Raw genomic sequence first — 19,656 nt, 5'->3', positions numbered from 1 at the left:
GATCACAAGGTCAGGAGATCATGACCATCCTGGCCAACAAGGTGAAACCTCATCTCTACTAAAATGCAAAAAATTAGGCGGGCGTGTTGGTGCACACCTATAGTCCCAGCTACTCAGGAGGCTGAGGTGGGGAATTGCTTGAACCCAGGAGGCAGAGGTTGCAGTGAGCCGAGATTGTGCCATTGCACTCCAGCCTGGGTGATAAGAGTGAGACACTGTCTAAAAAAAAAAAAAAAAGAAAGAAAGAAAAAGATTCCAGAGGAAAATGATTCAGTCAGGGAATCAATAAAATGTATTTTTCTTTTTTCTTTGTGATTTTCAAGAGCCCTCTATATTGACTTCCTGACTTTAAAAATAAGGGGAGGAGCCAGGCGCAGTGGCTCACACCTGTAATCCCAGCACTTTGGGGGCCGAGGCAGGTGGATCGCTTGAGCCCAGGAGTTTGAGAGCCTCCTGGGCAACATGGTGAACCCTGTCTCTGCAAAAAATACAACCATTAGCTGGGTGTGGTGGTGCACACCTGTAATCCCAGCTACTTGGGAGGCTGAGGTGGGAGAATTGCTTGAGTCCAGAAAGGTCAAGGCTGCAGTGAGCCTCTGCACACACCACTGCACTCCAGCCTGAGCAACAGAGCGAGACCCTGTCTCAAAAGTGAATAAATAAAATAAAGTAAAATTTTAAAAGCCTTCTCATTGGCCTACTTTCCTGGGTAATTTTTCAGTCAGTCTCTCTGCAGAGGAGGGTTGCCGACCTGAGAGAGCCCCACCCACCCCCACCCATGCACCCACGTCTCTCCTGCTCTCGCGCCCTCTGTCTCTCTTTCTGACTCTGTTTCTGTCTCTCTCTCCCTCACTTGCTTCCTCTCTCTCTCTTGCTCTCTCCTCGTCGCTCTCTCCCTCTCTTCCCTCTCTCTCTGTTTCCCTCTTTCCCCCATCTCTCCTGCTCTCTCCTTCTCCCCCATCTCCCTCTCTCCCCTATTTCTCTCCCTCTCTTCTCTCCCCGCTTCTCCCTCTTTCTCCCCCTTCCTTCTCCCTCTTTCCCTCTCTCTCCTTCTCCCTCTCTCTGTTTCTTTCCCCTTCTCCCCCTCTCTCCTGCTCTCCTTCTCCTCCACCTCCCTCTCTCTCCTCCCTCTCTCCCCTATTTCTCTCCCTCTCTTCTCCCTCTCCCCTTCCTCCCTCTTTCTCCCCCTCCTTCCCCCTCTCTTTCCCTCTCTCCTTCTCCCCCCTCTCCATCTTCCTCTCTCTTTTTCTCTCTCTCCCCTACCCTATTTCCCTCTCTCTCCTCATCCCTCTTCCTTTTTTCTGATTTCCTCCTTTCCTCCCTTTCCTCCTCCTGGAGAACTAACTCCTGCCTTGAGGCTCTGCCAAGATCCTGACCTGTGACCAGGGCATCTGTCAGGGCACCCATGAGCCAGCCGCAGCTGCAGTGGCCCAGATGGGACACTCACATGCTCTGCCTGCCCCCCGGCCTCTGGGGTCCCCACGGACACCCCCACTCAGTAGAGGCCACTGTCCAGCATCCGTCCTGGTCAGTTGCCCAAGAGCTACTCCCACGCACCCTTTCTGGAAGAAGTTTGTCTGACCAAGGCCTGATTAGAAGCGAAGCCCCTCTGAGGAGCTGATGTAATTCACAATTTGGCCCAAACTCCATGGGATAACCACGGGCCCAGCGTGGCACAATTATGATATGCTAGTGCGTCCATGAGCAATTTAGTTCAGTAATTGATTTTCAAGCAAGGGAGCTGGAAATTCCTTGATGTGAGATGAATGTACCAAGGGAAGGAGGATCCCCTGTTCCCAGCACAGCCAGGGGCTCCCAGGGCAAGACCCATGCCAGGCTGGGCCCGAGGCTCCGAGCTGCTTCAGCTGATACCCGAGACACTCGGGAAGCCATCGGTACACAGGGGCCACCTCTGTGTGATCACAGCACAAATCATTGAGCAGAAATTTCTGCTCCAGTCCCTTGACTGTATATTAAGCCCTGGCCCAGCATCAAAGGGACAATTTGGCTGAGAGAGACAGGAAGGTGTGGTGGGGCGTCTCACCTCTGTCCGTGGAGACTGGCCCAGAACATAAGAAACTGACAGAGAAATTGGAGCAATGTGTTAATTCATTACTGCTCAGAACCATCACCATTTGGCCACTGACTTCTGGCAGTCATTGGAGACACTGTTCTCTGCCTTGACTGCAGGCCTGGAGGAGCTGGCAGCCACTCAGAGGCCACTCAGATCCCTGCCATGGGGAGGGGAGTGGGGGAGTACGGGGGGGACAGTTTCCTTCCCTTTCTCTGGAAAAGTCGGAAGTGCACAGTGAGGAGCTCAGGGGTCATGTGGACACACCACTGTGGCCCCCAGGTGAGGCCCTGCAAACAGCTGTTCTGGAACATGCCCTGGCATTCACCAAAAGGAAAGGTGTAAACCAGAATCCAGCCTGAAGCCAGCGTTCCCACCGGACAGGAGGTGACGCCAGGTCACCTCCCACCCCCGATGGCCCAGACATCACCTTGGGAGCCCTCGGGCATCTCTCCAGCCCCCACCAACAGACAACCTCTCCGTGATGTCTATGGACAGACCAGTTCTATTCCCTGCCCGCCAAGGAGAACAGCATGGGAAGTTTCCCGTGCTCGGCTGCCTCCTCTCCCCAGATGCCGGGTGCACAGCTGACGCGAGGAAATCAGATGCCACTTCCCCGGCAGAGGCCGCACGTGGGCAGGCACCCGCTAAGGTACACAGAGTGCCTGCCTCCAAAGGGAGCTTCTAAGTGGGTAACTGTGCTGCTGTTATCCTTGCAGGGCTCAGGAAGGGCCCCGTGGGACAGCAGTTCATTTGCAGCTAGCAAATGCAATTTCGTGGTTCAGAGGCCTGAGCTCCAGAACTGAACATCTGACTTGGCACCTTGCAAGACTGGGCACCTTGGGCACTGGGCTGATGGCCCGGTCACCTGGAGGCAGCTAAAGCAGCCATTTCATGGCAGAGGAGAAGAGAAGAGCCAGCCAGGCCCCTTTCCCCCAGCAACAGAGGGAGCTGCCCCCCCAACCCCCCACCCCCATGCAGGCAGTTTGGGTCCTAGGCTGCTTGGAAAACCCACCACAACTGGGCTCTGTCAGCTGGGGAGCGATTCCCACATCTGGCGTCACCTGGTAGCCCTCGGAGGGCAAACTGAGCCCAGCATTAGCTTAATTAATCATAATTAGGAAGGCCGACCTGCAGCAAATATAATCATGTAATTCCTTCAAATCCAGATATAATTGACTTTCGGATTCCCCACTGTTTGGGATCATCCAAGCCACAGCGTTCCTCCCTCCAAGTAGACAGCTCAAACCCTAGAATGAGACCCCATCTCCTAATCATCTTGACTTCCTGCTGCAGAGCTGCTCATCTCTCTCTGCCTCTCCTTCCTCCTCCTCCTCCCCCTCCTCCCTTCCCCATCTCTGTGTTCTCCTCTTCCTCCTCCTCTTCCCTCCTTCCTCCTCCTTCCTCCCCTTCCTCTCCCTGCCACCCTCCCCCAATCCCTGCCTGCTCACAGATCCTGGTTCAGGAAACACACCAGTCCCTCATCCTGAAGCCTTTGTGCTCTGGTCCCAGCCCACTTGCTTCAAACAAGAAGAACCCTGAACCCAGGCCCCATGCAAGGAAAGAGAAGCCAGGCTCTGACCCTGAGCCTCCACCTCGAGCCCAGCTCCCAGCACTCTCAGCCCAGCAGCTCCCAGCCCCCAGCAGGAAATGAGTTGGGGCCAAAACCAACTGGGAGGAGCTAGTGCCCACCCAGCATGAACCAGTGTGCCCTAAAACAGTGTCAAGTCTTGATCTCATGAAGAATGATGAACCTGACGGGGCTGTGGGAGGCAGTAAGGGAGGTCCAGCTATGGGAGGAATGTAACAAGGATGCGAGGCTGGCAGAGAACAGCTTCTCACTGCTATGCAGGAGTCACAGCGAGAATCAGAACCACCCAGCCCTGGTGGGGGCAGGAAGTGGCTGCCTGCATGGTCCCAAACACCTGGTCCCCTGAGTAGGTGCAGGGAGGGGGCCCCCACAGGCGACTCCACTCTTTGAGTTGCTGCTTTCTGCTGCAGTTGGCCACAGCCTGCAACACCAAGGTAAGCTGGGGGCTCCTTGCCCTTTTGGTGTAGACAAAATGAACCTGAAGCCCTAGCTGTGTTCACAAGGAATCTCAACACCTCTCCATGCTTTTCACATCCCAAGAGGCTGCATCTTCTTGGACCTGGGAGCCACAAAAGGCTTGATCCCTGAGTCACTCTGCAGAGGAGAGCTGCCTGCCTCTGTGCAGCTCCTGGTCTCCAACATGTATCTGTGGGTGCTCTTTCCTCTCTACTCCTCATCAGTGTGCATGGAAGAGCAGCATCCCCCGCCAGTGTCCTCACAGGAAGTAGGCACACGATGGCTGCATGAGCAGAACGCTTCGGTTTATGGGGAGGTGAGTACCCACTAAGGGCTTCACATTGCAGAACATGGATAACTTGGAGCCAAACATTCAACCTCCATGACTTCCTAATCCAACCTCTCCTTGTCTCTTCCTTGCTCTCACTCTGCCCCCAAATTCCTGATCCTTTCTAAAGAACCTTCTCCTGCTGGGCCTTCAGACATCCACTTCCACCTTCAGCAGTTCATGCAGGTATTTTCCCAAATAAAGACAGTTCCCTCCTGGAGAGGAATTCTGTTGCCAACTGCAAATGCTCCCTGGTTTATGATAGGGCTGCATCCAGATAAACCCATTGTAAGTTGACAATATTATTAAGTTGAAAATGCATTAATTACAGCTAACTTCCCTCTCATCGTAGCTTAGCCTAGCCTACCTTAAATGTATTCAGACACTTGCATTTTAGCCTACAGTTAGGCAAAATCCTCTAACGTGAAGTTATTTTGCAATAAGGTATTGAATATCTCATGTAAGTTACTGAATACTGTACTGGAAGTAAAAAACAGAATGGTTGTGTGGGTCCTCACTGCTAATGTACACAGCTGAAAGCACCATCATCATAAAATCAAAAGGTCGTAATTTGAACCATCATAAGTTGGAGACCATCTGTATACAGAAAGATAGATTTTATAAGAAATTGGCTCATGCAATTATCAAGGCTGCAAGGCCAAAATCTGCAGGGCAGGCTCACATACCATGTGACCCCTCCACGTGACCCATCACCACTGTAGCAGAGGTGAACACCCGCCCCAAGCTGGTCCTATCAGGGTCTCTCTCCCAACAATCAGGACTTTGAATGCAGGGTAGTGGCACTGGTAAGTTGGGCCACATAGACTTGGGGTTTGGAGAAGCTGAAAGGAGAGAGAGAGAGACCTGCCTCAGGGGCCCTAGGTCTGCTTCAGCCTGACCTCGGAAGGTTCTGCCTCCACCAGCCTGAGTGCCTTCTGCTCCTTGCCAAGAACACGCCCCACCCAAGACTGACAGAATCCACTTCCCACTTCCTTCATCTCCCACCCTGGGCTTGTCCCCTCTGCAGCCTCTCCCTGCTCCAGGCAGCTTTCCAAGAGGGGCCAGATTTTTTTTTTATTATTGTTTTATTTCAATAGGGCTTTGGGGAACAGGTGGTGTTTGTTTTAATGGATAAGGTATTTAGTGGTAATTTCTGAGATTCTGGTGCACCTATCACCCGAGCAGTGTACACTGTACCCAATGTGTAGTCTTTTATCCCTCACCAGCCCCCACCCTTCCCCCCAAGTCCCCAGAGTCCAATGTATCATTCTTTTTTTCTTCTTTTTTTTAAAAACAATTTATTTTAAGTTCTGGGATACGTGTGCAGTACGTGCAGTCTTCTTACATACATAAATGTGTGCCATGGTGGTTTGCTGCACCTGTCAACCCATCACCTAGGTATTAAGCCACGCATGCATTAGCTTATACTGATGCACTTCCTTCCCCCAACCCCCAACCGCAGACATACCCCAGTGTGTGCTGTTCCCCTTCCTGTGTCCAGGTGTTCTCAGACAATAGGGCTTTTTATTATCTGGATATTACTGGAAAAATTATAAGATTGCTCAAGTTTCTATTTTGGGAGGAAAACCCACACTGAGGACATTTAAAGGGTTACTGATAGAGAAAATGAAAGATGCTTTTCTGATTACTCCCTACAAATCCTGCATGTTCCATATGAAGGTCATGAGCAAATCGCTTCACCCTAGTGGATGAGATTTTCCTTTTCCTTGATTTGTTCTTTCCACCCTTTCAGTTGTACCCATACTATGGAAACCATGACCATGCTTTTCTCCACAATGAAAACACCACTTCATCTTCACAGCTTATAGCCTTAATTATTAAGCCACACTGAATTACAATCAGAAGGATCTCATAAAAGCTGGTCCATGTGCTATCGCCAGTCAGCTCACTCAGCCTTTTCTCTGCAGCATATGAACTGGCTTAGAAATATTTCTTGAGTGAGAAGTTTTTTTTTTATTGCTTTAAAGACAACAGAGGTTTACTGTTATGTAACTGTGGAGGCCAGAAGCCTAAAATCAGTATTACTGGGCAGAAATCAAAGTGTCCACAGGGCCACACTCTCTCTGAAGACATTGGGGGAGAATTTTTTTGCTTATCTTTTCCAACTTCTGGTGGCTGCTGACATTCCTTTGAGCAAGAGCTTTGAGCAAGTTTCTTGGAAACGTTGTCTGCGACAGAACTTTGCTTCACCATCTTCTGAATGCTTATATTCAGCTCCATGGGTTAGAATTATAAAGAAGAAGAAGGAGGAGGAGGAAAAGGAGGAGAAGGAAGAGGAAGAAGAAAGAGGCTGGGCACGGTGGCTCACGCCTGTAAACCCAGCACTTTGGGAGGCCGAGGCAGGCGGATCATGAGGTCAGGAGATCGAGACGATCCTGACTAACACGGTGAAACCCCGTCTCTACTAAAAATACAAAAACAAAATTAGCTGGGCGTGGTGGCGGGCTCCTGTAGTCCCAGCTACTCGGGAGGCTGAGGTGGGAGAATGGTGTGAACTCAGGAGGCAGAGCTTGCAGTGAGCTGAGATCATGCCACTGCACTCCAGCCTGGGTGACAGAGCAAGACTCCATCTCAAAAAAGGAAGAAAGGAAGGAAGGAAGGAAGGAAGGAAGGAAGGGAGTGAGTGAAGAAGAAGGAGAAGGGGAAGAGGAAGAGGAAGAAGAAATAAGAAAGGAAGAAGAAGGAGAAGGAGGAGGAGGAAAAAGAGGAGGAGGAGAAGGAGAGGAGGAAGAGGAGGAGGAAGAAGAGGAGAAGCAGCATCAGCATGGTTTGTCTCTACTTTAATAAACAATTTTAAAAAATTATAATGTATACATCTGGGACTGGCTATGAGTTAGGCTGCTCTAATGTGGCCAAAATGACGGATTTAAACTAAGTAAAGTTTATTTCTTTCACTTAGCGGTCTGTGTGTTAACAGTCTAGGTTTCACTGACAGTTCACTCCATGGAGCTGAGACCCAGGTTCCTTCATTCTGATTCTATGATCCTTCACACAGGGCTCCTACCTTCTTATCTAAGAAGGCTTATCCAGCTCAGGCATCATATTAAAATTCCAGCTGATGGGGAGAGGAAAAGGAAAGGGGAGATATAGGAATCTACACTCTTATTTTAAAGTATAGGAATCTATAGTTCTAAATATAATTTTTTTGTTGTTCACATTCCATTGGCCACAACTAATTTAAAAGGAGCCTGGGAAATTATGTCGGCTAAAGTCCTATTAATATGGAAGAAGGGGAGAATAGATAATGGGAAAACAACCGGCAATCTCTCATGTATATACAAAGACCTTTAAAAAGAACTCTAGTATTAGTCTTGCTAGCAGTCTATCAATTTTGTTGATCTTTTCAAGAAACCAGCTCCTGGATTCATTGATTTTTGAAGGGTTTTTGTGTCTCTGTCTCCTTCAGTTCTGCTCTGATCTTAGTTATTTCTTGCCTTCTGCTAGCTTTTGAATGTATTTGCTCTTGCTTCTCTAGTTCTTTTAATTGTGATGTTAGGGTGTCAGTTTTAGATCTTTCCTGCTTTCTCTTGTGGGCATTTAGTGCTATAAATTTCCCTCTACACACTGCTTTAAATGTGTCCCAGAGATTCTGGTATGTTGTGTCTTTGTTCTCGTTGGTTTCAAAGAACATCTTTATTTCTGCCTTCATTTCGTTATGTACCCAGTAGTCATTCAGGAGCAGGTTGTTCAGTTTCCATGTAGTTGAGTGGTTTTGAGTGAGTTTCTTAATCCTGACTTCTAGTTTGCACTTTGGTCTGAGAGACAGTTTGTTATAATTTCTGTTCTTTTACATTTGCTGAGGAGTGTTTTACTTCCAACTATGTGGTCAATTTTGGAATAAGTGCGATGTGGTGCTGAGAAGAATGTATATTCTGTTGATTTGGGGTGGAGAGTTCTGTAGATGTCTATTAGGTCCACTTGGTGCAGAGCTGAGTTCAATTCCTGGATATCCTTGTTAACTTTCTGTCTCATTGATGTGTCTAATGTTGACAGTGGGGTGTTAAAGTCTCTCATTATTATTGTGTGAGAGTCTAAGTCTCTTTGTAGGTCTCTAAGGACTTGCTTTATGAATCTGGGTGCTCCTGTATTGGGTGCATATATATTTAGGATAGTTAGCTCTTCTTGCTGAATTGATCCCTTTGCCATTATGTAATGGCCTTCTTTGTCTCTTTTGATCTTTGTTGGTTTAAAGTCTGTTTTATCAGAGACTAGGATTGCAACCCTTGCTTTTTTTTGTTTTCCGTTTGCTTGGCAGATCTTCCTCCATCCCTTTATTTTGAGCCTATGTGTGTCTCTGCACATGAGATGGGTCTCCTGAATACAGCACACTGATGGGTCTTGACTCTATCCAATTTGCCAGTCTGTATGTTTTAATTGGAGCATTTAGCCCATTTACATTTAAGGTTAATATTGTTATGTGTGAATCTGATCCTGTCATTATGATGTTAGCTAGTTATTTTGCTCATTAGTTGATGCAGTTTCTTCCTAGCATCAACAGTCTTTACAATTTGGCATGTTTTTGCAGTGGCTGGTACTGGTCGTTCCTTTCCATGTTTAGTGCTTCCTTCAGGAGCTCTTGTAAGGCACTCCTGGTGGTGACAAAATCGCTCAGCGTTTCTTTGTCTATAAAGGATTTTATTTCTCCTTCACTTATGAAACTTAGTTTGGCTGGATATGAAATTCTGGGTTGAAAATTCTTTTCTTTAAGAATGTTGAATATTGGCCCCCACTCTCTTCTGGCTTGTAGAGCTTCTGCCAAGAGATCCGCTGTTAGTCTGACGGGCTTCCCTTTGTGGGTAACCCAACCTTTCTCTCTGGCTGCCCTTAACATTTTTTCCTTCATTTCAACTTTGTTGAATCTGACAATTATGTGTCTTGGAGTTGCTCTTCTCGAGGAGTATCTTTGTGGCATTCTCTGTATTTCCTGAATTTGAATGTTGGCCTGCCTCGCTAGGTTGGGGAAGTTCTCCTGGATAATATCCTGAAGAGTGTTTTCCCACTTGGTTCCATTCTCCCTGTCACTTTCAGGTACACCAATCAGACGTAGATTTGGTCTTACCACATATTCCCATATTTCTTGGAGGCTTTGTTTGTTTCTTTTTACTCTTTTTTCTCTAAACTTCTCTTCTCACTTCATTTCTTTCATTTGATCTTCAATCACTGATACCCTTTCTTCCACTTGATCAAATTGGCTACTGAAGCTTGTGCCTGCATCATGTAGTTCTCTTGCCATGGTTATCAGCTCCATCAGGTCATTTAAGGACTTCTCTACACTGTTTATTCTAGTTAGCCATTCATCTAATCTTTTTTCAAGGTTTTTAGCTTCTTTGTAATGGGTTTGAATATCCTCCTTTAGCTCAGAGAAGTTTGTTATTACTGATCATCTGAAGCCTTCTTCTCTCAACTCATCAAAGTCATTCTCTGCCCAGCTTTGTTCTGTTGCTGGCGAGGAGCTGCGTTCCTTTGGAGGAGAAGAAGTGCTCTGATTTTTAAAATGTTCAGCTTTTCTGCTGTGGTTTCTCCACATCTTTGTGGTTGTATCTACCTTTGGTCTTCGATGATGGTGACATACAGATGGGGTTTTGGTGTGGATATCCTTTTTGTTTGTTAGTTTTCCTTCTAACAGTCAGGACCCTTAGCTGCAGGTCTGCTGGAGTTTGCTGGAGGTCCACTCCAGACCCTGTTTGCCTGGGTATCAGCAGCGGAGGCTGCAGATCAGTGAATATTGCTGAACAGCAAATGTTGCTGCCTGATCGTTCCTCTGGAAGCTTCGTCTCGGAGGGGTACCCAGCTGTGTGAGGTGTCAGTCTGCCCCTATTGGGGGGTGCCTCCCAGTTAGGCTACTCGGGGGTCAGGGACCCACTTGAGGAGGCAGTCTGTCCGTTCTCAGATCTCAAACTCTGTGCTGGGAGAACCACTACTCTCTTCAAAGCTGTCAGACAGGGACATTAAGTCTGCAGAGGTTTCTGCTGCCTTTTGTTTGGCTATGCCCTGCCCCCAGAGGTGGAGTCTACAGAGGCAGGCAGGCCTCCTTGAGCTGTGGTGGGCTCCACCCAGCTCAAGCTTCCTGGCTGCTTTGTTTACCTACTCAAGCCTCAGCAATGGCGGGCACCCCTCCCCCAGCCTCGCTGCCACCTTGCAGTTCGATCTCAGACTGCTGTGCTAGCAATGAGCGAGGCTCCATGGGCATGGGACCCTCCGAGCCAGGCGTGGGATATAATCTCCTGGTGTGCTGTTTGCTAAGACCATTGGAAAAGCACAGTATTAGGGTGGGAGTGACCCAATTTTCCAGGTGCCGTCTGTCACCCCTTCCCTTGACTAGGAAAGGGAATTCCCTGACCCCTTGTGCTTCCCGGGTGAGGCGATGCCCTGCCCTGCTCTGTGGGCTGCACCCACTGTCTTGACAAGCCCCAGTGAGATGAATCCAGTACCTCAGTTGGAAATGCAGAAATCACCCGTCTTCTGCGTCGCTCACGCTGGGAGCTGCAGACTGGAGCTCTTCCTATTCGGCCTTCTTGGAACCACCTAAAGAAGACCAATGTATCATCCTTATGCCTTTGCGTCTTCATAGCTTAGCTCCCACATGTGAATGAGAACATATGATGTTGGGTTTTCCATTCCTAAGTTACTTCACTTAGAATAATAGTCTCTAATTCCATCCAGGTTGCTGTGAATGCCATTATTTTGTACTTTTTTTTTTTTTTTTTTTTTTTTTTTTGGCTGAGTAGTATTATCTCAGAGTAGCTATATATATACCACATTTTCTTTATCCACTCATTCACTGATGGGCATTTGGGCTGTTTTCGTATTTTTGCAGTTGTTAATTGTGCTGCTATAAACATGCATGTGCAAGAATTTTTTTCATATAATCACTTCTTTTCCTCTGGGTAGATAGGCAGTATTGGGATTTCTGGATCAAATGGCAGTTCTACTTTTTGTTCTTTAAGGAATCTCCTCACACTGTTTCCCATAGTGTTTGTACTAGTTTACATTCCCATCAACAATGTAAAAGTGTTCCCTTTTCACCATATCCACACCAACATCTATTTTTTTTTATTATGGCCATTCTTGCAGGAGTGAGAGGGTATCACACTGTGGTTTTGATTTGCATTTCCCTGATAATTGGTGATACTGAGCATTTTTCTATATGCTTGTTGCCCATTTGTATATCTTCTTTTGAGAATTGTCTATTCATGTCCCTAGCCCACTTTTTGATGGGATTGTTTGTTTTTTTCTTGCTGATTTGAGTTCTTTGTAGAGATTCTGGATATTAGTCCTCTGTCAGATGTATAGATTGTGAAGATTTTCTCCCACTCTGTGGGTTGTCTGTTTACTCTGCTGATCATTTCTTTTGCTGTGCAGAAGCTTTTTAGTTTAATTAAGTTCCATCTATTTATCTTTGTTTTTGTTGCATTTGCTTTTGGGTTCTTGGTCATAAAGTCTTTGCCTAAGCCAATGTCTAGAAGGGTTTTTCCAATGTTATCTTCTAGAATCTTTATGGTTTCAGGTCTTAGATTTAAGTCTTTCATCCACCTTAAGTCAATTTTTGTAAAAGGTGAGAGATGAAGATCCAGTTTCATTCTTCTACATGTAGCTTGCCAATTATCCCAGCACCATTTGTTGAATAGGGTGTCCTTTCCCCACTTTATGTTTTTGTTTGCTTTGTCAAAGATCATTTGGCTGTAAGCATTTAGCTTTTTTCTGGGTTCTCTATTCTGTTCCATTGGTCTATGTGCTTATTTTTGTACCAGTACCATGCTGTCTTGGTGAGTATGGTCTTATAGCATAGTTTGAAGTCAAGTAATGTGATGCCTTCAGATTTGTTCTTCTTGCTTAGTCTTACCTTGACTATGCAGGCTCTTTTTGTTCTATATGATTTTTAGGATTTTTTTTCTAGTTCTGTGAAGAGCGATGGTGGTATTTTGATGGGGATTGCATTGAATTTGTAGATTGCTTTTGGCAGTATGATCATTTTCACAATATTGATTCTACCCATCCATGAGCGTGGGATGTGTTTCCAGTTGTTTGTGTCATCTATGATTTCTTTCAGCAGTGTTTTGTAGTTTTCCTTGTAGAGGTCTTTCCCATCCTTGGTTAGGTATATTCCTAAGTATTTCAATATTTTTGTGGCTATTGTGAAAGGGGTTAAGTTCTTGATTTGATTCTCAGCTTGGTCACTGTTGGTGTATAGCAGGGCTACTGATTTGTGTACATTAATTTTGTATCCTGAAACTTTGCTAAATTCATTTACCAGTTCTAGGAGCTATTTGGATGAGTCTTTAGGGTTTTCTAGGCATATGATCCTATCATCAGCAAACAGCAACAGTTTGACTTCCTCTTTGCCAATTTGGATGCCCTTTATTTCTTCCTCCTGTCTGGTTGCTCTTGCTAGGACTTCTAGTACTATGTTGAATAGAAGTGGCGAAAGTGGGCATCCTTGTCCTGTTCCATTCTCATTCTCAAGAGGAATGCTTTCAATTTTTCCCCGTTCAGTATAATGTTGGCTATGGGTTTGTCATAGATGGCTTTTATACCTATGGTTTGTCCCTTCTATGCAGATTTTGCTGAGGGCTTTAATCATAAAGCGATGCTGGATTTTGTCAAATCTTTTTTCTGCATCTATTGATATAATCATGTAAGTTTTGTCTTTCTCTTTATGTGGTGTATCAGATTTATTGACTTATGTATGTTAAACCATCCCTGCATCCCTGGTATGAAACCCACTTGATCATGATGGTTTATCTTTTAGATGTGCTGTTAGATTCGCTTAGCTAGTATTTTGTTGAGGATTTTTGCATTCATGTTCATCAGGAATATTGGCCATACAAATATATAGTTTTCTATATTTGTATGTCCTTCCCTGCTTTTGGTTTTAGGGTGATACTGGCTTCATAGAATGATTTAGGGAGGATTCCCTCTTTCTCAATCTTTTGGAATAGTATCAATAGGATTGGTATCAATTTTTCTTTGAATGTCTGATAGAATTCAGCTGTAAATCCATCTGGTCCTGGACATTTTTGGGCAATATTTTTATTACCATTTCAATCTCATTGCTTGTTACTGGTCTGTTCAGAGACTCTATATCTTCCTGGATTAACCTAGGAGGGTTGTATATTTCCAGGAATTTATCTATCTCCTCTAGGTTTTATAGTTTATGTGCATAAAGGTGTTCATAGTAGCCTTGAATAATCTTTTGTGTTTCTGTGGTATCGGTTGTAATATCTCCCATTTTTTTCTAATTGAGCTTATTTGGATCTTCTCTCTTCTCTTATTGATTAATCTCGCTAATGTTCTATCAACTTATCTTTTCAAATAACCAGCTTTTTGTTTGATTTATCTTTTGTATTTTCGTTTGTTTGTTTGTTTGTTTCAATTTCATTTAGTTCTGCTCTGATCTTCATTATTCCTTTTCTTCTGCTGGGTTTGGGTTTGGATTGTTTCCGTTTCTCCAGTTTCATGAGGTGTGACCTACATTGTCTATTTTGCTCTTTCAGACTTTTCGATGTGGGTGTTTAATGCTATGAACTTTCTTCTTAGCACCACTTTTGCTGCATCCCAGAGGTTTTGATAGGTTGTGTCATTATTATCATTCAGTTCAAAGAAATTCTCATTTCCATCTTGATTTCATCATTGGCCCAGTGATCATTCAGGAGCAGGTTATTTAACTTCTATGTATTTGCAGGGTTTTGAGGGTTCCTTTTGGAGTTGATTTCCAATTTTATTCCACTATGGTCTAAGAGAGTACTTGATATAATTTTGATTTTCTTAAATTGACTGTGACTTGTTTTATGGCCTATCGTATGGTCTACCTTGGAGAGTGTTCCATGAGCTGATGAATAGAATGTATATTCTGCAGTTGTTGGGTAGAATGTTCTATAAATGTCTGTTAAGTCCATTAGTTGTAGGGTATAGTTTAAGTCTATTGTTTCTTCATTGACTATCTGTCTTGATGACCTGTCTAGTGCTGTCAGTGGAGTATTGAAACTCCCCACTATTTTTGTGTTGCCATCTATCTCATGTCTTAGGCCTAGTAGTAATTGTTTTATAAATTTGGGAGCTCCAGTGTAAGGTGCATATATATTTAGAATTGTGATATTTTCCTGTTTAATCCTTTCATCGTTATGTAATATCCCTCTTTGTCTCTTTTAACTGCTGTTGCTTTAAAGTTTGTTTTTTCTGATATAAGAATAGCTACTCTTGCTCACTTTTGGTGTCCATTGGCATGGAATATATTTTTCCTCCCTTTACCTTAAGTTTATGTGAGTCCTTATGTGTTAGGTGAGTCTCCTGAAGACAGCAGAAAATTGGCTGGTGAATTCTTATTCATCCTGCCATTCTGTATATTTTAAGTGGAGCATTTAGGCCATTTACATTCAATGTTAGTATTGAGATGTGAGGTACTATTTTATTCATTGTGCTATTTGTTGCCTGAATACTTTTTTTTTCATTGTGTTATTGTTATATAGGTCCCGTGAGATTTATGCTTTAAGGAAGTTCTATTTTGGTGTATTTCAAGCATTTGTTTCAAGATTTACAGCTCCTTTTAGCAGTTCTTGTAGTGCTGGCTTGGTAGTGGCGAATTCTCTGGGCATTTGTTTGTCTGGAAAAGACTGTATCTATCCTTCATTTATGAAGCTTAGTTTCACTGGATACAAAATTACTGGCTGATAATTGTTTTGTTTAAGCAGGCTAAAAATAGGACCCCAATCCCTTCTAGATTTCTGCTGGGAAATCTGCTGTTACTCTGGTTTTTCCTTTATAGGTTACCTGATGCTTTTGCCTCACAGCTCTTAAGATTCTTTTCTTCGTCTTGACTTTGATAAACTGAGGACAATACCAGTACCTAGGCAATGATCATTTTGCAATGAATTTCCCAGGTGTTCTCTGAGCTTCTTGTTCTTTGAGCTTCTTGTCTAGATCTCTAGCAAAGCCAGGGAAGTTTTCCTCAATTATTCCCTCAAATACGTTTTCCAAACTTTTAGATTTCTCTTTTCCCCAGGAACACCAATTATTCTTAGGTTTGGATGTTTAACGTAGTCCCAGACTTCTAGGAGACTTTGTTTTATTATTATTATTATTATTCTTTTTTCTTTGTATTTGATGGATTGGGTCAATTTGAAAGCCTTGTCTTTGAGCTCTGAGGTTCCTTCTTCTGCTTGTTTGATTCTATTGCTAAGACTTTCCAGTGCATTTTGCATTTCTCTAAGTGCGTCCTTGATTTCTGGAAGTTGTGATTTTTTTTAATTTATGCTCTCTATCTCACTGAATAATTTTCCTTTCATGTCCTGTATCATGTTTCTTATTTCTTTAAGTTGGACTTCACCTTTCACTGGTACCTCCTTGATTAGCTTAATAATCGACCTTCTAAATTCTTTTTCTGGCAATTCAGAGATTTTCTTCTGGGTTTGGATCCATTGCTGGTGAGCTAGTGTGATCTTTTGGGGGTGTTAAAGAACCTTGTTTTATCGTATTGCCAGAACTGTTTTTCTGGGTTCTTCTCGTTTGGGTAGACTATGTCAGAGGGAAGATCTGGGGTTCAAGGGCTGCTGTTCAGATTCTTTTGTTCCACGGGGTGCTCCCTTGAGGTGGTGTTCTCCCCTTTCCCCTAGGGATGGGGCTTCCTGAGAGCCGAAGTGTAGTGATTGTTTTTGCTCTTCTGGGTCTAGCCACCCAGTGGAGCTACTGGGCTCCGGGCTGGTACTGGAGAGTGTCTGCCTGCAGAGAGTCCTGTGATGTGATATGATCTGTCTTCAGGCCTTGCAGCTGTGGATACCAGCATCTGCTCCAGTAGAGGCAGCAGAGGAGTGAGGTGGACTCTGTAAGGGTCCTTGGTTGTTTTTGTTTAGTGCACTGGCTTCGTGTTGATTGGCCTCCAGCCAGGAGGTGGCACTTTCAAGACTGCGTCAGCTACTATCCCATAACGAGGGTGCAAACTTGCCCTAGAGACACCTGTTAACTATTCAGGATTCTCAGACAGTGGGCAGGGCCATAGGGCTCCCAAGAGATTATGACCTTTGTTTTTGGCTACCAGGGCAGGTAGAGAAAGACCACCAGGTGGGAGCAGGGATAAGCGTGTCTGAGCTCAGCCTCTCCTTGGGTGGGTCTCGCTTGGCTGCTGTGGGGGATGGGGGCATGGATCCCAGGTCAATGGAGTTATATTCACGGGGGGTTACAGCTGCCCCACCCTCACTATCCTCCAGGAAGGGGACAGCGGCTGGAGACTGAGTTAATCATCTATCTGGCCTACATGATGAAGCCTCCATGAAAATCCCTCCACTATGGGGTTTGGAGCGCTTCCAAATTACTAAACATATGGGGGTCCCTGGAGGGTGAAGCGCTGCAGAGAGGTCATGGAAGCCCCATGCCCCATGCCCCATGCCTGGCCCTGTACGTCTCTGTCCGGCTGTCCCTCTGTACCCTTTATAATAAACCATAAATGTAAGTAACAAGTTTCCCTGGGTCCTGTGAGCCGTCCTAGCAGATGGCAGAAACTTGATTTACAGCCATCGGTCAGAAGGTCTGCAGGCTCAGACTCATGATTAGCATCTGAATGGGGCAGTCTTGTGGGGCTGAGCCCTTCACCTGCGGGGTCTGACACAAACTCCAGGTAGATCGCGTGAGAATTGCATTAGAGGACGCCCAGCTGGTGTCTGCTGGAGATCTGAATTGATGGCTGGGGGTCAGGGGAACCCACACTCTTGGTGTCAGAAGTGTTCTGCATCAAGTGATGAGAGAAGAGCAGAGAAAAGAGTGTTTGGTTTATTTTCTTTTTTTTTTTTTTTTGTCCTTTTATTCATGTGAAACTTTAATTTGAACACTTATCCTATTACACATATAATTTACATCTTTTATTTTCACTTAACAATATATTGTTATGGTTTATTTTCCTGCTATGTGCCAGCCAAGCCCTCCCAGGAACACTCCCGGAGAAGCGCCCCGGCTACTGTCCTGAGCTGAGCCACGGGAAATGCTGTGGTCCCTGCTGAGAAGCAGCTGGTCTGACTCAGAAGAGCACAGGCTGTCCTCACGGCAGTCCGGACCCTATCTATCATAGAGGGCGGAAGCCGGAGGGATGGCGGCCAGGGTCCCCTTGGGGCCAGACGCTCTGTGCCAGCGCTGAGATGACTCAGGCACTTGGTGGCTGTTATGGGCTTCCTTGGCCCCTGTCTATCCTCCTCCCTGGCCTGGACAGAGGACACTAAGCCTGACTCCTGCCCACTCTGCCCTTTCTTCTCTGGCTGCAAACAGACCCAGCTGGTCACTGGGCCCCACTCCCACCTGCATAGATTTATTCTCTCATCGTTCTGGAGGCGAAGGCTGGAAGTCCAAGTTCGAGGTGTTGACTGCCCTCCCACTGAAGGTCTGTAGAAGAATCCTACCTGGGCTCTTCTGGTTTCTGGTGAGTGTGGTCGTCCTTGGAGTTCCCTGGCTTGTGATTGCCTCACTCGCATCTCTTCTCCATCTTCACATGGCCTCCTCCCCTCTCCAGATCTCCCTCTTCTTATAAGGACATCAATCATTGGATTTGCACCCCCCCTTGATGACATCTGCAATGATTCTATTTCCAAACTAGGTCACATTCACAGGTACTGAGGTTAGGACTTCACCACGTCCTTTTGGCAGGCATGATTCAACCCGTGTATAGGAGATTTGGCCCCACCCTGCAGTGAACAGCACAGTCGGCTTGGCCCGGGTCAGATCGAGAGCTGGGAGAGGTCAGGGGAGAGAGGTACTTGGGGCTGCAGCAGGCCATGTGCTCAGCTGCCACTAACAAGCAGCAGGGCTTGCATGGGTGGGCATGGAGCCACACCCTGCCCAAGTCCACCCAGCCCATGGCCCCTGGCCCAGGATATGCCAGAGGTGGACAGCCCGAAGGAGACACTCACTTCTGAATTTACTCAAAAAATATTTATGGGCAATCTGCTATGTGCCAGGAACTTGCCCCAAACTCTGAGGATAGAGCAGGGACTGAGTCCTGCCCTCATGAAGCTGACATTCTAGGAGATAGAGGCAGTAAAACAACTAAAGACAAAATGAAGTGCAAGAAGTGGCAAGTGCCTCAAAATAAGAACACGGAAGCAGGAAAGGGATGGCAAGGGATGGAGCCACCATAGTCAGGGGATTGTTGAGAAGAGTCTCTCCTGGGATGCTTTATTTGAAAAAAGACCCTCCCCCTACCACCACAACCCACACTGAGCTGCCAAATGTCCCCCAGAGTCCTCCAGTTTTATGGAGTCACCCTGTCTTTCAATCATTAAATAAATATAGACCCAAATCCGGGTTCAACATGTGAAAACTCCACATTTCCCCTCTTGAAAGAGTTTGTTTTATCTTGGTAGGGGCTGCAGGTTTTCCTGGCCCCACTGCATTCTCCACCCCTGTTTGCAGTTCCCAGCAGGCATGCAATATCCCTGTTACACTCCAGGGCCCCCCACTCTTGCTCGGTTCTTTGCTTGGTTCCTGGCATCCAAAGCCCCCCCCCCCCCACCCCACCCAAGGCTATGGGTGATGTGGTGTTGCTACTGGTGCTAAGGGTGCAGAGGTAGTGACACTCAGCCCCACCCAGCAGCAGGCTGAAGCCTGATTCCATACATTCCTGTTACGAAGAGCACCTTCGCCTAAACACCCAGCTCTCCCTAGCACCACTTCCTGGGATACTCCAGCTTCCAGCCCATAGCTGGGTTCCTCTCTCTCTCACAACCCCCTCCCTGCTCTCATTCATTAACTCTCCTTTCTCTTCCAGCCCCTACTTCAACCTGCACCTTCACCACTACTATCACCTCCATGAACCTGCACCCCATTTCTGCTCCTATAATTAGGCAGCACATGATCCAATCATCCCCACCATGCCCTGAAAAATAGATGCAGAGATTCAACTTTCATATCCAAAGAGGGCTTCAAGGTGTTTTACTTGATAAAAGACTGTTTCTCAACAGTATTAAAAAAAAAACCCACAGATCAATATTCCTCATTAATATAGATACAAAACTCTTTGAGATAACATTAGCAAACTGAGTCCAGCAATGTGTTAAAAGAATATCCTGGAAATGCAAGGCTAGTTCAATCTTCAAAATTCCATCAATGGATTTTTAATCTGTCACATTAAGATTCTAAATAAAATAATTCATATATTAATTGATGCAGAAAAATCATTAGATAGAAAATATCCACTTATGATAAAACTTTTGG

General features: G+C 45.6%; 5 annotated features.

The window, feature by feature from the left end:
• Positions 16,539-17,314: an enhancer, noted in NCBI's record as "OCT4-NANOG-H3K27ac-H3K4me1 hESC enhancer chr1:4093716-4094491 (GRCh37/hg19 assembly coordinates)". NCBI's record gives its function as "activates a minimal SCP1, AML or CMV promoter by ChIP-STARR-seq in primed H9 embryonic stem cells {active_cell/tissue: H9 hESC(primed)}" and the evidence as "EXISTENCE:reporter gene assay evidence [ECO:0000049][PMID:30033119]".
• Positions 17,443-17,612: an enhancer, noted in NCBI's record as "experimental_7995 CRE fragment used in MPRA reporter constructs". NCBI's record gives its function as "activates a minimal promoter by MPRAs in K562 erythroleukemia cells, with activity observed for both the introgressed and non-introgressed 1:4093503 or rs12041382 variant alleles {active_cell/tissue: K562}" and the evidence as "EXISTENCE:reporter gene assay evidence [ECO:0000049][PMID:34662402]".
• Positions 17,443-17,666: a biological region, named in NCBI's record as "Neanderthal introgressed variant-containing enhancers experimental_7992 and experimental_7995".
• Positions 17,497-17,666: an enhancer, noted in NCBI's record as "experimental_7992 CRE fragment used in MPRA reporter constructs". NCBI's record gives its function as "activates a minimal promoter by MPRAs in K562 erythroleukemia cells, with activity observed for both the introgressed and non-introgressed 1:4093449 variant alleles {active_cell/tissue: K562}" and the evidence as "EXISTENCE:reporter gene assay evidence [ECO:0000049][PMID:34662402]".
• Position 17,527: a transcriptional cis regulatory region, noted in NCBI's record as "Neanderthal adaptively introgressed variant 1:4093503 (GRCh37/hg19 assembly coordinates) or rs12041382 in the experimental_7995 CRE". NCBI's record gives its function as "modulates activity of the experimental_7995 enhancer by MPRAs in K562 erythroleukemia cells {active_cell/tissue: K562}" and the evidence as "EXISTENCE:reporter gene assay evidence [ECO:0000049][PMID:34662402]".

This window comes from Homo sapiens, chromosome 1, assembly GCF_000001405.40.
Source record: "Homo sapiens chromosome 1, GRCh38.p14 Primary Assembly".
NCBI classification, from domain to species: domain Eukaryota; kingdom Metazoa; phylum Chordata; class Mammalia; order Primates; family Hominidae; genus Homo; species Homo sapiens.
Note: the sequence above shows the minus strand (reverse complement) of the source record. Positions and strands in the feature narration are given on the sequence as shown.